The following is a 15979-nucleotide window of genomic DNA, read 5'->3' on the forward strand; positions in this document are numbered from 1 at the left end:
ACAGATATTTTGCAGCCTGCTTTCACTCTGTGAGTCATTAAGGAGTGGGTTGATAAACTTGCATTGCAACCTTGCTTATAGAAGATTGTGCCTATTGTAAGATACTCCCTATAAAGCCAAAAGATAAAAAAATGCTAAGGGTACTGACAATTGTTTATAAAATACAGTCATAAAGACATCCCGCTCCAGAGAGTTCTCTGATTAAACTTCACAATAACTGTAATTTCTCTGCCTGAATCACTTTGTTAAATTTTGTCTTGGCTTCTGGAGACAGGGTAGGGAGACAGATTAAATTTCAATACCTTATGCTATTCATTGGGCTTGGGAGAGTTTCTTCAGCATAAATGATAATAAAGATAGATTAGTGATTCTGGTTTATCCTCTAATCTTAGCATAGACATTTTCTGTAGATTAGAAGTCATTTCATTTATGAACCAAATAAGGCTTCTGATATAAAAAGAAAAATGAATCTTACTCAGTTCCCTAAGGCTTAGAAAAGATTGCTGGAATTTAGGAGTTGGGTAAATGGTTTTACTTTAGCTACTAATCCAATTGAAAAAACGTGAGACGATTTTCTGAAAAGCTAAAAAGCTCTTATAGTAAATTTGAGAGGATTTTTAAATTATGGAGAACAAGATAGTATTGCCCTTACCTAAAATTCTCCCTCAATATTTTGTTTCCTTTGCTTTGGAAACAGCATCCAAGCAGGGCCACTGAGAAGGGTGTGTGGGGGTGGGTGTTTTATTGACAGTTGTTTGAAGGAAATTATGCACAGGTACCTAAAAAGAGCAACTCAGGCAAGTTTCCCAGCCACTTAGATTTCCTGTTTCTTTAAGTTAAGCATTGCTATTCACATTGTGTTGACTGTAGAAGGATTGATAGTGTCCAGTACAAATAATAATAGTAAAATAGAATTTCTGCTTAGAGTTTGTGGTAAATATCAAAATATCTTAGTGATAAGCACATGTATTCTTTTAAATTTTGTCAGTTGCCCAGTGCTTCCATTCATTCATCACTTGTTTATTTTATTCAACCAGCATTTATTGACCCCCTGCTGGTTCTGGGTTTCCTCTCATACTGTGCTAGATGCCTGGTATGCAAAGATAAATGAGTCATGGTCTCTCCCCTCAAGCAGTCACCAACTACTAAATTCTTGGTCATTTTAGTTGTTTTCTTTTTTCTTAAAAAAATTTTTTTTTTCAACAGGTTTTTGGGTACAAGTGGTGTTTGTTTACATGAATAAGTTCTTTAGTGGTGATTTCCAAGATTTTGGTGCACCTATCATCTGAGCAATGTCACTGTAGCCAATGTGTAGTCTTTTATCCCTCTCCTCCCTCCCAGTCTTTCCCGAGTCCCCAAAGTCCATTATATCATTCTTATGCTTTTGTGTCCTCTTAGCTTAGCTCTCACTTATGAGTGAGAGCATATGATGTTTGGCTTTCCATTCCTGAGTTACTTCACTTACTTACCCTCCAGTTGCATCCAGGTTGCTGCAAATGCCATTATTTCATTCCTTTTTATGTCTGAGTAGTGTTCCATGGTGTGTGTGTGTGTGTGTATACATACACATACATACCACGGTTTCTTTATCCACTCGTTGATTGATGGGCATTTGGGCTGGTTCCATGTTTTTGCAATTGCGAATTGTGCTGCTATAAATATGTGTGCAGGTATCTTTTTCTATAATGACTTCTTTTCCTCTGGGTACATACCCAGGTGTGGGATTGCTGGATCAAATGGTAGTTCTACTTTTAGTTCTTTAAGGAATCTCCACACTGTTTTCCACAGTGGTTGTACTAGTTTACATTCCCACCAACAGAGTAAAAGTGTTCCCTTTTCACCACATCCATGCCAATATCTATTATTGTTTGATTTTTTTGATTACGGTAATTCTTGCAGGAATAAGGTGGTATCACATTGTGGTTTTGATTTGCATTTCCCTCATAATTAGTGATATCGAGCATTTTTTCATTTTTTTTGGCCATTTGTGTATCTTCTTTTGAGAATTGTCTGTTCGTTTCCTTAGCCTACTTTTTAATGGGATTGTTTGTTTTTTTCTTGCTGATTTGTGTGAGTTCCTTGTAGATTCTGGATATTAGTCCTTTGTTGGATGTATAGATTGTGAAGATTTTCTCCCACTCTGTGGGTTGTCTGTTTACTCTGCTAATTATTTCTTTTGCTGTGCAGAAGCTTTTTAGTTCAATTAAGTCCTGTGTATTTATCTTTGTTTTTGTTGCATTTGCTTTTGGGTCCTTAGTCATGAAGTCTTTGCCTAACAAAGCTATTGTCTAGAAAGTTTTCCCAGGGTTATCTTCTAGAATTTTTGTGGTTTTGGATCTTAGATTTAAGTCTTTGATCTATCTTGAGTTGATTTTTGTATAAGGTGAGAGATGAGGAACCAGCTTCATTCTTTTACATGTGATTTGCCATTTAGCACCATTTGTTGAATACAGTGTCCTTTCCCCACTTTATGTTTTTGTTTGCTTTGTTGAAGATCAGTTGACTGTAAGTATTTGGCTTTATTTCTGGGTTTTCTATTCTGTTCTGTTGTTCTATATGCCTATTTTTATACCAGTATCATTGCTGTTTTGGTGACTGTGATCTCATGGTATAGTTTGAAGTTGGGAAATGTAATACCTCCAGATTTGTTCTTTTGCTTAGTCTTGCATTGGCTATGCGAGCTCTTTTTTGGTTTTATTTCTTTTTTTAAAAAAATTATTATTATACTTTAAGTTTTAGGGTACATGTGCACAATGTGCAGGTTAGTTACATACGTATACATGTGACATGCTGGTGCGCTGCACCCATTAACTCGTCATCTAGCATTAGGTATATCTTCCAGTGCTATCCCTCCCCCCTCCCCCCACCCCACAACAGTCCCCAGAGTGTGATGTTCCCCTTCCTGTGTCCACGTGTTCTCATTGTTCAGTTCCCACCTATGAGTGAGAATATGCGGTGTTTGGTTTCTTGTTCTTGCGATGGTTTACTGAGAATGATAATTTCCAACTTCATCCATGTCCCTACAAAGGACGTGAACTCATCATTTTTTATGGCTGCATAGTACTCCATGGTGTATATGTGCTACATTTTCTTAATCCAGTCTATCATTGTTGGACATTTGGGTTGGTTCCAAGTCTTTGCTATTGTGGATAGTGCCGCAATAAACATACGTGTGCATGTGTCTTTATAGCAGCATGATTTATAGTCCTTTGGGTATATACCCAGTAATGGGATGGCTGGGTCAAATGGTATTTCTAGTTCTAGATCCCTGAGGAATCGCCACACTGACTTCCACAATGGTTGAACTAGTTTACAGTCCCACCAACAGTGTAAAAGTGTTCCTATTTCTCCACATCCTCTCCAGCACCTGTTGTTTCCTGACTTTTTAATGATCGCCATTCTAACTGGTGTGAGATGATATCTCATTGTGGTTTTGATTTGCATTTCTCTGATGGCCAGTGATGGTGAGCATTTTTTCATTTGTTTCTTGGCTGCATAAATGTCTTCTATTATTTCAGGAGATCTACTAGATGCTGGAGTTACAGCAGAAGAAAGACAGGAAGAGTTTCTTCCCTTATGGAGTTATTCTCTAGCCTAGGAATAAAAGTCAACATGAATAAAATGGAGAAGCAATCAATGCTGAGCTGAATTTTTCAAATAGAGTAGAGCTATTAATCATATTAGGTCAGAGATGTAATTCTTTGGTGAGAGACTAATAAATGAAATAAAATTATAGGTCTTTTTGAGACTAATTGAAATTATGGAACAACCGATAGAATAAAACTACATTCTAAAATTGTAGTTTCCAGATTCAGACTTAGAACATTCCTTAATTAACTTAGCATTTGATTTATAGAGAACTTTAATATTTCAATAGTATTATCTATCAAATAGTTAATGAACTATTTTAACTTTCTTTGAGAAAGTTAAAAGGCAGATATCTCCAGTTTTAACATTCGGCTCTGACTCAAATTTTGGTTAAGTTTTGCTGTCACATCTAGACTTTATTACATAAACAAAGATTTAAATTAATTACAGTTACTTCAATGGGATATATAATTCAGATTTATTCAACTTTCCCCATTCTTTAATTACTACTGGTCAGAGATTGTTCTTGTGAGAGATACACTATTTTAGCATGACTCAGAAACCTTAGTAACAAAGTGAACATTTTAAAAGCATACAAAATACAAGCCCGAATTCGATTCAGAAGGCATAAAATTAAGCTATTGGATGCTGTAGTTTCTCAGTGCTGGTGTGACTCTCTGCCCCTGCCTCATGATAGAACTAGGAACCATAACAGTTCACTGAGTCATGCTAGGCCATGGTATCAGCGCGTGCTTGGCAGACCCTCAGTAAACCTTTGTGTGAGTGGGGGCATTTGTTGCACAGTGATGATCTCAACATTACTTTAATAATCTATACCACATATTTATGCTTGGTATTGGTTTGTTTTAAAATGCAATTTTTAATTTAATTTTATTATTATTATTTTTTGAGATGGAGTCTCGCTCTGACCCCCAGGCTGGAGTGCAATGACGTGATGTCGGCTCACTGCAACCTCTACCTCTTGGGTTCTAGGATTCTCCTGCCTCAGTCTCCTGAGTAGCTAGGATTACAGGTGTCCACCACCATGTCCGACTAATTGTTGTATTTTTAGTAGAGGCAGGGTTTTGCCATGTTGGCCAGGCTGGTCTTGAACTCCAAAATCAGCTATTCTTTAAAAATTATGCATTTGAAACAATGAAGATTTAGCCATTCTAAACACTTCTTTAGAAACTTTATGCCTGCCCTTCCTTAATCGATTACATTTAGATGGAACTTTTGTATAAAGTGTTCTCCTACACATGATCTCATTTGATCTTCTTGACAGTTCTGTGACTGATATTGGACACTTATTATTATCCCCATTTTATCAATGAGTTAATTGCTATTTACCTGCGATTATATAGCTAATTAATGGAAGGCATTGGCTGTACAATGGGATTTGTGACTCCCACTTTACAGCTGAGCTCAATTCTTTCTACCATTGACCTGCAACGATGTTTTAAATAAAATGACTACTAAGGTTAGATGTTTTAAATAAAATGACTATTAAGGTTAGATGTTTTAAATAAAATGACTACTAAGGTTAGACTGCTAAGGTTAGAGGTTAGACTGCTAGTTTCTGCCAATGGATCATTTTTGCCAATAATAGGATAATTTTTTTTCACAATAAGAATCCTAAAAAAAAATTTCATCCTAGCCTCAGCACTTCTCTACATTAATTCTAGGAAACACTTGTACTTAGATGGAGCTTCCTAAGGACCAGCAATCTTTTTAACAAAAGATGAGCCCTTCAAAAGCTGCCTGATAAGTGAGTGCAAGAATTATAACCATTGATACACACTGTAGTCATCAAAAAGTCAGATCACACAGTCTATTCTGCATAGGACTCCATTCATTGCCTTTTAAATGCAATAAACTTCCCCTCCCTTTTTCACACCATATCCTGCCTTTTTCTAACCTATATTAATGATTCAATACATATGGTGAATAAATTAAGTGATAGAGTTTTTTTAATTAGCAAGATTTTTATATAGCAAGATATAACCTGAGTTATACCTGTATTTCACTTTGATCTAAGAGAAGCAAATCATACTAGCTCTTATATAAAAACTCTGTAATGGTAGCATAACTATTCAGTAATGTTACTAAATGAAAAAGAACTGCACAATGCATTTTGTTATGCATATTTTCTTTAGGAATTCCTTCACTCTTGGAATAAACTTAACTCTTTTCCATAAATGAGACCCCCACCCCCCGCAGTCCAAAATTTGTCAAGCTGAATGATCACTAAAATCACCTAAAGAACATTTTTAATGTTATTTTTCTCAAGCTTTTTATAACTAAAATTTTCTTCCCATATACAAAAAGCTGAAAGACTAGTACAATGAACATTCATACAAGTACCTCCTAAATTCAATAGCTGTTAATATTTTAACAAATTTGGTTTCTCTCTCTGCCTTTCTCTCCCTCTGTGTGTATATACATAGACCTATCTGTATAAGTCTTGGCTTGATTTGAGTTTAGGTAAAACATTATTGATAAAAATACTTCTTCATTGATGTGTGTACTTCATATTGCATTACATCAGGTGGCAAATGACGTCAGGTTGTTTCATCGCTGGTAATTGTATTTAATCATTTGTTCATGGTGGTAAGTAGCAGATCTCTTTTTTTTTGTAAATAACAAACGTGTCTGGATGGTAGTTTGGTACTATGTGAATATCCTGTTGCTAACATTTCACCTAAAGGAAACCATCCTTTTGTCCCTACCAGAATCTATTGTTCCATCAGACTCTGTTGTTACATCTACATTGATTAGCTGGCCTTCTTCTGTAAAGGTGAGCATTTCTTTATCAACTGTGGGTCGACTACAGTTTCTTCTAAAAAGTTAGGGTAATTTGTAATCCTTCCCCTTTACCACGTTTCGAGTAGATCTCACCATATCGAATTTTTCCCATTATTTTTTCAGGGCTACTTTTCTTTCTGACACAACTAAATTTGCTCACCTTCCAATTTCCTGCCTCAGACCCCAAATCAACCATTTCTTCAAGGAACCTCAGTTCTTTTTAGTGAAGGATGGTATGTATAAATCAAGCTCTAAGTGTTAGGCATACCTATTGTACTTGTATCTTTGCTTCTTGACCTTTTCAGTGGACAGTGCAAGGAAATATGTGTATTTCTCTTAATCATGAGTTCATGTTAGTATTTGTAATTTAAATTTAACATTAATTTTAAAAATTATATTTGTATATCACACTTAAAACTTGCAATATATTTATTTGATTCATATATACATATATAGTTTTGAATTACAATAAAATTCTGAACGAAGTTTAAGATTTCTTTGCAATTCTTTCTGTCCCTGGGGAGTTTTTAAAAATGCAAATATTGGCCGGGCGCGGTGGCTCACGCCTGTAATCCCAGCACTTTGGGAGGCCGAGGCGGGCGGATCACGAGGTCAGGAGATCCAGACCATCCTGGCTAACACGGTGAAACCCCGTCTCTACTAAAAATTAAAAAAAAAATTAGCCAGGCGTGGTGGCGCGCGCCTGTAGTCCCAGCTACTCGGGAGGCTGAGGCAGGAGAATGGTGTGAACCCGGGAGGCGGAGCTTGCAGTGAGCCGAAATTGTGCCACTGCACTCTAGCCTGGACGACAGAGCGAGACTCTGTCTCAAAAAATAATAATAATAATAATAATAATAATAATAATTATAATTATATCTGTGCCCACTTCCCCAAGATCTTCTGAATTAGAATCCTGGAGATAGAATTTTGTCAGATTGTAGGTTTGTATTTTTAAAATAACCAATCCATGATCTCCTGCCCTAGTCAGCCTCAGGACTGCTGGAATATGTGAAATCTGTTTTACTTTGGGTCATATCTCTCAATCCTCCCTCCCCTCTTTTTTCCTTCTTAGACATTTTTATAATTTTGTTATAATGTAATTACAGAATTACTGGGCACAGGGAGAAATGTTTAAGGAAATGGGAAAAGGGTTGACTGGGAAGTAAAAAGAAAAATCAAGAATTTGCAGGAAGATGGTATAGGGAGCTTAGAAGCTACTGGCATGAACAGTAACTTTTCATAGGCTATCATTATCCTCAATATCTTCCTTACAGTTCTTCAGAAGATTTTAAACAGTAATCCTGTTTTTTAAAACAGGATTTAAAACATTATTTAATAATGGCCTAGCATTTATTGCATATTTAGCATTGCCAGGCACTCAAAGTATTTTATGTAGTGCCTCATTTAATCCTTGCAGGAACCTTATTGTGCTCATATATTAATATTCCAATTTTGTAAATGAGGAAACTGACTTAAATATATGTACTCTGCTTAATGAGCTACTTTCTAAGGAAAACACAAGTTTTATCTTTGCCACAGGTTGGGTTACCCAGGAAGCGCACTCTGAGATTGAGATTTGGATGCCTTATGTTGTTAGAGATACCTGACAGATCTAACAGAATTGATCTCTGGGGATCAATACCTTTGGAAGGGAGGAGATGCAACCACAACCACTCAGTGAAGCTGAGCTATGAAGTGGTTCTCTACCAAGTCCTGAACCAACCCCACAGAGAGCTCTGGAGCTAGGGTAGTTGTTCAAAGTCCTTCCAATTTGGAGCAAGAGGACTGGCCTTTTTACCTCTGCATTGACCCATCGCTGTGTGCAGACTGCCCCTGGAAGGAGGCTTGATCTTGGATGGGGACCCTCTTCTGCTGGCACTCTCTGCAGCCAGGGGAATAAGTTTTTTAATCCTGAAAGGGCTTCTGGGGTAGAACTGATCGCTGATCACAGTGTCCACCACATCTCCAGTAAATTTGCTATAATTTCTTCAAAACAAATTTTCTTGATAAAGACTTTTTCCCTATTGGCTATTCTTTTCTTATTTTTCCCATTGAAGAATATATATATTTAGAGGCATTTGCTCTTATGTCATTCACCATAAACTCAAAGTCTTTTTTAACCCAGTTGTACCAGCTTTTAACTCCGTGCCTTATATTACATCGGATAAACCAAAATATTTTTATGCAGTAACTTGCTGTTTTTTTTAAACATCAGGCGTTTAGCATCTCCAGTCCTCAACATTTTACTCTGCTTGTCTTTACAGCCATTCTTGAGAAGGTTCTCAAAGAGGTCAATGCAAGAGAAAGTCTTCATATTAATCCATGCTTAGGATCTCCTCAATTTCAACCCCTTCTTTGTTAAAGCGTCCTCTTTGACACTCAGCATACATCCTTCATCCCGTGATTTTCTGGTGGAGAAAATTACTCACTCTCAGCTTGCTGGCTGACTGTCCCAACTGTCTGTCTTCTGTGTGAACTTGGAGGCAGAAGGGCTGTGTGTGCTATCACTCCCTGGTGTAGAGAAACACGTCCACCTCCTCCTGCCTCTGGTGTACCTGGTCCCTTGTATATGGGATTATGTGCTCTCAGCATAAGAAATGCCTGATTTTTCCATTTAAATGAGGTGAGGCTATGTTACAAATGCACTATTTGTTCTCTTCTTCCTTTGGGAGTATTTCTGGTCTTCATTTTTATTGGAAGACCTCGAAATACTTTAAATATGTTTGTTCTATAGTTTTTAAAAAATAAATCATTTCTGAGTATGTTGAAACTCAGTACCCAGCAACATAATTTTCTTTGGTTAATAATTTTTCTAAACTGGAAATGAAATGCCTTAAAATTATGCATTTGTCAAATATGCTTTAATATGTGGTTAAAAGCCAATCTAATAAGGAAAAATAACCTAAAAATTAGTCCAACCATTCCTTTTAATTCCTTGCTTCCAATTTACCATGTATATCTACCACTTTGGAGAGAAAAACTGTTAATTTAACCTTAATTTTTAATTTAATTTAAAAATTTTAAAATGTAACTCCATTTAAAGAAGTATCTTGAGGAAGATTGAACCTGGGAGCAGGTAAGTAGGAGAGATCACTAAAGAGCAAAGTGTAAGGTAGAGCATTTGTTTCCTTCTTTTTTGTTTGTTTGTTTTTGTTTTTGTTTTGAGACAGTGTCTCGCTCTGTCGCCCAGGCTGGAGTGCAGTGACTCGATCTTGGCTCACTGCAAGCTCCGCCTCCCAGGTTCACGCCATTCTCCTGCCTCAGCCTCCCCAGTAGCTGGGACTACAGGCACCCACGACCACACCTGGCTAATTTTTTTTATTTTTAGTAGAGACGGGGTTTCACCGTGTTAGCCAAGATGGTCTCGATCTCCTGACCTCATGATCCACCCACTTCGGCCTCCCAAAGTGTTGGGATTACAGGCCTGAGCCAACACTCCTGGCCTCCTTCTTTTTTATAAGGATGTGTGCCTCTTCACATAGAGTGCTGTGTAGGACTTGAACTTCTATCTCATGAATGTCTCATGTTGGCGGAGGTCATGCAGCATGATTCTCATTGCTTTTAAGTGATGGATAATTGAGTGATTAATAATTGATTTCACTGCATTCTGTGTTTTTTGCACCTTTTAAAAAAAATCGCTTAAGCTAGGGTTTTTGTTTCTGTTTTTTAAATGCTACCCCAAGTTTGGTTGTGTTCTCAAGTGAAAAACATTGCTAGCTATGCCGTGTGTGAACTTTCAGCCTAGTCATTTTGTGGCCATAAATATTGTTTCTATGAGCCTCTTTTCAGCTGTGCTAGTCATGTGTTTTCTGTTTGTTCCTTAAATTATGTAAAATGACCCCTTTGGCAGCCAACAAATTTTATAGCTTACTATGATAAAGAGCTTCCTTATGGAAAAAATATTCAAGTTATATAAAATGTTTTCTAGCAGGTCAATTTTTTTCTGAATAAATAGTTTTAAAAACAAATTTAACAGGAAGCTTAACAATTTTTTGAAAATTTGTACAAGCAGTGCTCAATGTAGGGAATAAGGAAAACCAAGAGATGAGAAAAATTAACACCCAAAAGCTCATCACCAGAGAAAACTGCTTTTACTCTCTCTTCTTCTAGTCATTTCTATGCCCCATTATTATTTTTGCATATTTGAGGTGATGTGGTGTAAACAGTATGTATATTCAATGTGTATATTCTACTTCTTCAAACTAATATTATATATAAAGATTTTCTACAAAAATTATTTTTTGAACGTTTTATAATTATATACTATTCAGTTGTGTTAAGTTCAGTTAGCATAATTTTTCTAACTGTTCTCATTAAGGGCATTTTGTTTGTTTCTAGTAGATTGGCTAGTATACAGGCTGCAGTGAGCATTTCTGCATAATGTCTCTTCTGTAATTAGAATTGTGTCCCTAGAATATATTCACAGGTCTGAAATTTTGCAGTCAGGAGGAATGAATGCTTTTAAAGATTTTGATACTCACAGCCAGATGGCTTTACAAAAAAAACTCTACCAACATTAAATTGTTTTTACTTTTTTTCCCCGCCTAGGAGGGTCTAAGATCTTTGTGACCCTAAAAAGGTTAAGAGCCACTGGTATGTTTATGAAAAACAGATTTTATGCTTCTTGAGGTCATCACTGCCTTTTAACTTCCAGGAACCCTACCAGTAAGCATACCCTGAAGTAGATGTGCAAGAAATTTGTTGAAAATAATGATCTTAGTGAGATCTGCATGTGACCAAAATTGAGGATGCCTTTCAGGAATACTAACATGCCTTAGGCAGTGGAAAGGGTGGCCAACTCCTCTTTGGTGTCAATTTGAAAACCTTATTTTATTTACTTCATATTGTCAGTGGCAGACAACAGATTTTTGAAGACCATTTTGTGTTTTTGCAAAATCACAATAGCAAGCACGGTAGCTCAGTTTAATGGTCCTATGTGCCAAAGTGACTAGCTGAAAATAAAGTATTTCATTTTTATCTGTAGCAGTCAAGTCACATGAGATGAGTATATCATTTCCTGCATATTACAATTTATTACATCTTAATATTCACCTACCCTAGTGGGCGTCATAGTAAGTTTTTACTTCTATTACAGTAGCCTTTCCTGAGCTGCTTTATTATGAATTCTAGTTAGTAGTATTTTATTGGTTTGAAAATAAAGGAAATTTTTATTGAAATAAATGTATTGAAATTAACAGTGATTCTAAGGAATATATTTGTTTTAGCATTTAAATAGTCTACAAAGATAACTATCAATTTATTTAGCTAGAAGTTCCCTAGAAATTCTAGTTAAGGATATGAAAAGCATGGATGCCTCCCTCGACCTAGAGAGAGTATAATAGTTAAGAACATGGAATCTGTAGCCAGAGACCTTGGATTTGAATCCTACCTTTACTGCCTCCTTGGAGCACGGCTTTTATCAAGTTACTTAAACTCTGTGCCTCTGATTTCTTAACTGTAAAATGGGGTAATAGTGGTATCTAGCTCAAAGAGTTGTTGCAGGAATTAAAAGAGATACGTATGATGCAGGCAGAATCATGCTTGTTTCATTGTATGGGTTCTTCTACCTTCTCCTCATCGTATTATCGTAGTCTTTGTAGTCGTCTTCATGATGGAAGTCAGTATTCAATGAAATACTTTCTCTGATAAATTGATTTACTACTTTTTTTTTCATTTTTATCTCCATTTTTCTTGGTAAGCCTTTGGAGGTTCTGTTCCAACTTTGACAATGCTTTGACTGACACATTGGCAGGCTGTCTTAAGTGTGTGCTATAGTAACAACATGCTTCCTTTTTCATTTATTTGTAGATACCAGGATAAATGTGCTGCTTACCTTCATTATACCAGGTAAAAGAAGGGAACCTTTTCAATAGAAAACAAAAAACCTGTATGACTTAGGGTCATCAGAAGAGTATGGCAAAATAAAACTGAGATATTCAGTGAGACTTGCCAGTGTAGTCTTCCAATAAATTATTGCATATTATTTGCCAGAGCTTCACCTTTTGTTGCAAACAGATAGCAAATTTCAGTTGCACCACTTCAGCAGCTTATGTTCATCAACTGAGGTTGGTTGGAATGTGTCAGACCAGCTAAATTTAAGCATATGTTATATATTCTTTCAGTTAATGGGTAGAGTTGCTTCCTGTTGCTTAACTACTGCTATGTTTCCTTCTCTCAAAGTGCCAAAAAGTTTTTGAAATAAAATGATTATTTTAATGGTTTGGTATTGTGAACATGGTTATGGTAAAATTAGAATATTGCTTCTTTCATCTAAAAGGTGGTAGGTAGCAAGATGAAGAAATGGAAATAGAAAGTAAGGGAAAGTTAAAGTTAACTATCATATTTTTAATGTTTTAATATGAGTATAATCTGTTTACTATATAAATCAGAAATTAAATTAGGAAAACATTCCATATTATTCTGTATGAAAGTAGTGTTTTGATATGTCACTCCTAATCCTCACTTGGGTTTCATAGTGAACATTTTCATGTGTCCTAGAAAACAGACTGTTGGTTGTATTTCTGGATAAGTACTCTGTGAGGGGTTTTCTCCCTTTCTCTCACTGATACCTCTTACATTATGGGAGGGGAGAAAAATGGAACTCTGGTCTTATATATAATATAGTTAGCATGTCCTGGGAAATATAGTAAATTATTCTGTGATAGTGTAATTATCTTCTGCTGTCTTTATGGAACCAGGCATTTGATAAATTTTTGGTTAGAGTAGAATATCAGCAAAGCTATAGGAATAGGCTCAATTGTGAATAATTTAGTTTTCCTCCATAGCCACAGCACTACTTTTGCTCACAAAAAGGCAAGAGTATTCATGAGCGATAGTTTGAACATCTAAAAATTCACAGTAGTACCTCAGTTGGAACAGTCTGCTTAACATAGGTTGAAAAGCACTTTAGTCCTTACTTATGGGACAGACTGATTTAATTCTTTGTATCAAATTTTTAAAAATGTTTTTCCCTTTATTTCACAAGCTGTCAGGGGAAATCATGACCTAACACATTGAAGGAACAAAACACCTTTGACAGGCAGATCTCATTGTGCAGTGTAAGAATTGGCTTCTTTGGTGTAACTGGTTGCCAAAGATAGCCTTATAACATGATTTTAAAAAGCAGAATAAAGAGACATTAAAGTATATATTAATCGCATGTTTTAAAGGCCCCTCGAGTTAATTGTTTTTGTAAATTTCTGGGTTTCTACAAAGTAGAAGTCATTATCAAGCAGTCTTCTTGAAGTTGTTTAGCATTGTGGCCACCAGCACAGGATCAGGAGTCACAGGCCAGGGTTCAAACCTACATCAGTGGCTTACTGATTGTGTGACTTAATGATGTATGATCTCCTCTCTAATCTTTGGCTTCCTGAACTATAAAATGTGAGAGTAAAATTACAGGTCCTGTCTCACTGGATAGTTGCGAGGATTGGAGTATGTAACATACTTAACGGTGTCTAGTAGTTTTATTTTTTAAAATCAAAAATTGCACTGCTGTTGCCCCAAAAATCCATCTAAAAAACATAAGGCAGGCCCTCCTTTAAATATATGGAGGCCAGGAAACATGTTTCCTGTTGAATAACTGTTATTATTTTTGTATATGGGAGTAGAAATAAGGAAACTAGAAATGGCACAGAATTTAGGAGAAAGGAAGACACATAACAGAAGCTCTTCCTGTGCAAAAGGAGCAAAATACTAAGACTCTCCTCAATTAGAGCTTTTTAGTCTGGTTGGGGAAGAAAAACTAACATATAGGACAGTTAGAGAATTATAAAAATATTGAGTAGAAATTCATAAGAGGAAAAATATCACTGGAACTAGAGCAGATGGTGGGGGCTGAGTCTTTATAAATGGAATTGGAACTGAACTTAGAAGGAAGAGAGGAGGAAAGCAGGGCAGTGCTGTAGGCTAAGGCTGGTAAGTGAGCAAACCCTAGAGGCAGGACTGAAAATAATTTTTTAAAATCATCTCCTGAAGGGACGTGACTGACTAATGAGTACAGGGACACCTTGAGTGAGTACATAGTGGGTAACACTGAAGCCAGGCAAAGAGTTTGAGCCTGGTTAGGGAGACTTTCAGTCTCTTAAAAAAAAAAAATCCCTGACATATACTAGAAAGCAGTGGTTTTTATAAATTTTTGATTGATACATATGAATTGTACATATTTATGGAGGGCATGGTATATTTTGATACATGCATACAGTGTGTAATGATCAAATCAGGGTAATTAGGATATCTGTTACCTTGAACTTTTTTTTTTTTTAGAGACAGCGTCTTGCTCTGTTGCCCGGGCTGGAGGGCAGTGGCACGACCATAGTTCACTGCAGCCTCGAACTCCTGGCCTCAAGCAATCCTCCCACCTCAGCCTTCCAAGTAACTGGGACTACAGACACACACCACCATGCCCTGCTGATTTAAAAAAAATTTTTGTAAAGATGGGGGTCTCTCTATGCTGCCGAGGCATGTCTCAAACTCCTACCCTCAAGAGATCCTCCTGCCTCAGCCTCCCAGAGTGCTGGGATTACAGGTGTGAGCTTGTAACATTCCTTTTCTTTGTGTCGGGAATGCCTCAGATCTTTTCTTCTAGCTATTTTGAAATGTACAATAAATTGTTGTTCCCTATGGTCACCCTACTGTGGTACTGAACACTAGAACTTATTCCTTCTATCTAAGTGTATGTTTGTACCCATTAACCAATCTCTCTTTACCCCTTTCCCCTTCCCAGCCACTGTTAGCCATCATTCTACTCTACCTCGGTGAGATCCACTTTTTTAGCTCTCGCGTATGAGTGAGAACACGTGGTATTTGTCTTTCCGTGCCTGGCTTATTTCACATAGCATGATGACCTTCACTTCCATCCATGTTGCTGCAAATGACAGGATTTCTTTCTGTGGCTGAATAGTACTCCATTGTGTGTATACATACCACATTTTCTTTATCCATTCATCCACTGATGGACACTTAGGTTGATTCTGTATCTTGGCTATTGTGAATAGTGCTTCAGTCAACATGACAGTGCAGGTATCCTTTGATATATTAATTTCCTTTCCTTTGGATAAATACCCAGTAGTGGGATGGGTGGGTTGTATGGTAGTTCTATTTTTAGGTTTCTGAGAAACCTCCATACTGTTTTCCATAATGGCTGTTGTAACTTACATTCTCACCAACAGTGTATAAGAGTTCCCTTACTCTGCATGTTTGCCAGCATTGTTATTTTTTGTCTTTTTGATAAGAACCTTTCTGACTCAGATGAGATGATACTTCATTGCGGTTTTGATTTGGATTTCCCTGATGATTAGTGATGTTGAGTATTTTTTCATATATCTGCAGTATTTAACAGAGCTAAGTCTAAATGCAATATATAGAATAGATTAAATGGGAGACACTGTTGGATTAATTCAGACTGCAGTGGTTGAGGATTTGGATCCCAAAGAAGAGAACAATGCCAGTATCTGCACCAATTCCATCTTTCCTATTACATCAGAGGGGTTGTCCGCCTCCCAGCCAGGCCAGTCCCCATGACTGCTTTGGCTCCCATCCCTTCTTCATTCTCAAGAACTTTGTGCACTTGATTACCCCTTCTCTC

The 15979-nt window shown here is 36.7% G+C and overlaps 1 protein-coding gene across 11 annotated transcripts in view, besides 2 other annotated features; it reads left to right on the plus strand.

Annotated features, from left to right (window-relative positions):
* GALNT7 (polypeptide N-acetylgalactosaminyltransferase 7) overlaps positions 1 to 15979 on the plus strand; it is a 155157-nt gene that overhangs the window by 48983 nt on the left and 90195 nt on the right. For 2 of the 11 annotated variants that reach the window (XM_047415779.1, XM_047415778.1), the window contains exons 2-4: positions 6321 to 6626; positions 12202 to 12240; positions 14659 to 14920. The exons of 4 other annotated variants lie outside the window; for them this stretch is intronic. In XM_047415779.1, coding sequence (XP_047271735.1) covers positions 14843 to 14920 — 78 coding nt within the window. In that variant the 5' untranslated portion in view covers positions 6321 to 6626; positions 12202 to 12240; positions 14659 to 14842. Of the gene's footprint in view, positions 1 to 2227; positions 6627 to 12201; positions 12241 to 14658; positions 14921 to 15979 lie in introns of those variants that run through there. 5 more of the 11 variants (XM_047415782.1, XM_047415781.1, XM_017008292.3 and 2 more) reach the window with 4 other exon arrangements.
* Positions 8361 to 8877: an enhancer, noted in NCBI's record as "H3K27ac-H3K4me1 hESC enhancer chr4:174147305-174147821 (GRCh37/hg19 assembly coordinates)". NCBI's record gives its function as "activates a minimal SCP1, AML or CMV promoter by ChIP-STARR-seq in naive H9 embryonic stem cells {active_cell/tissue: H9 hESC(naive)}" and the evidence as "EXISTENCE:reporter gene assay evidence [ECO:0000049][PMID:30033119]".
* Positions 8878 to 9393: an enhancer, noted in NCBI's record as "H3K27ac-H3K4me1 hESC enhancer chr4:174147822-174148337 (GRCh37/hg19 assembly coordinates)". NCBI's record gives its function as "activates a minimal SCP1, AML or CMV promoter by ChIP-STARR-seq in naive H9 embryonic stem cells {active_cell/tissue: H9 hESC(naive)}" and the evidence as "EXISTENCE:reporter gene assay evidence [ECO:0000049][PMID:30033119]".

The sequence above is a fragment of the Homo sapiens genome, chromosome 4, assembly GCF_000001405.40.
Source record: "Homo sapiens chromosome 4, GRCh38.p14 Primary Assembly".
Classification (NCBI taxonomy): domain Eukaryota; kingdom Metazoa; phylum Chordata; class Mammalia; order Primates; family Hominidae; genus Homo; species Homo sapiens.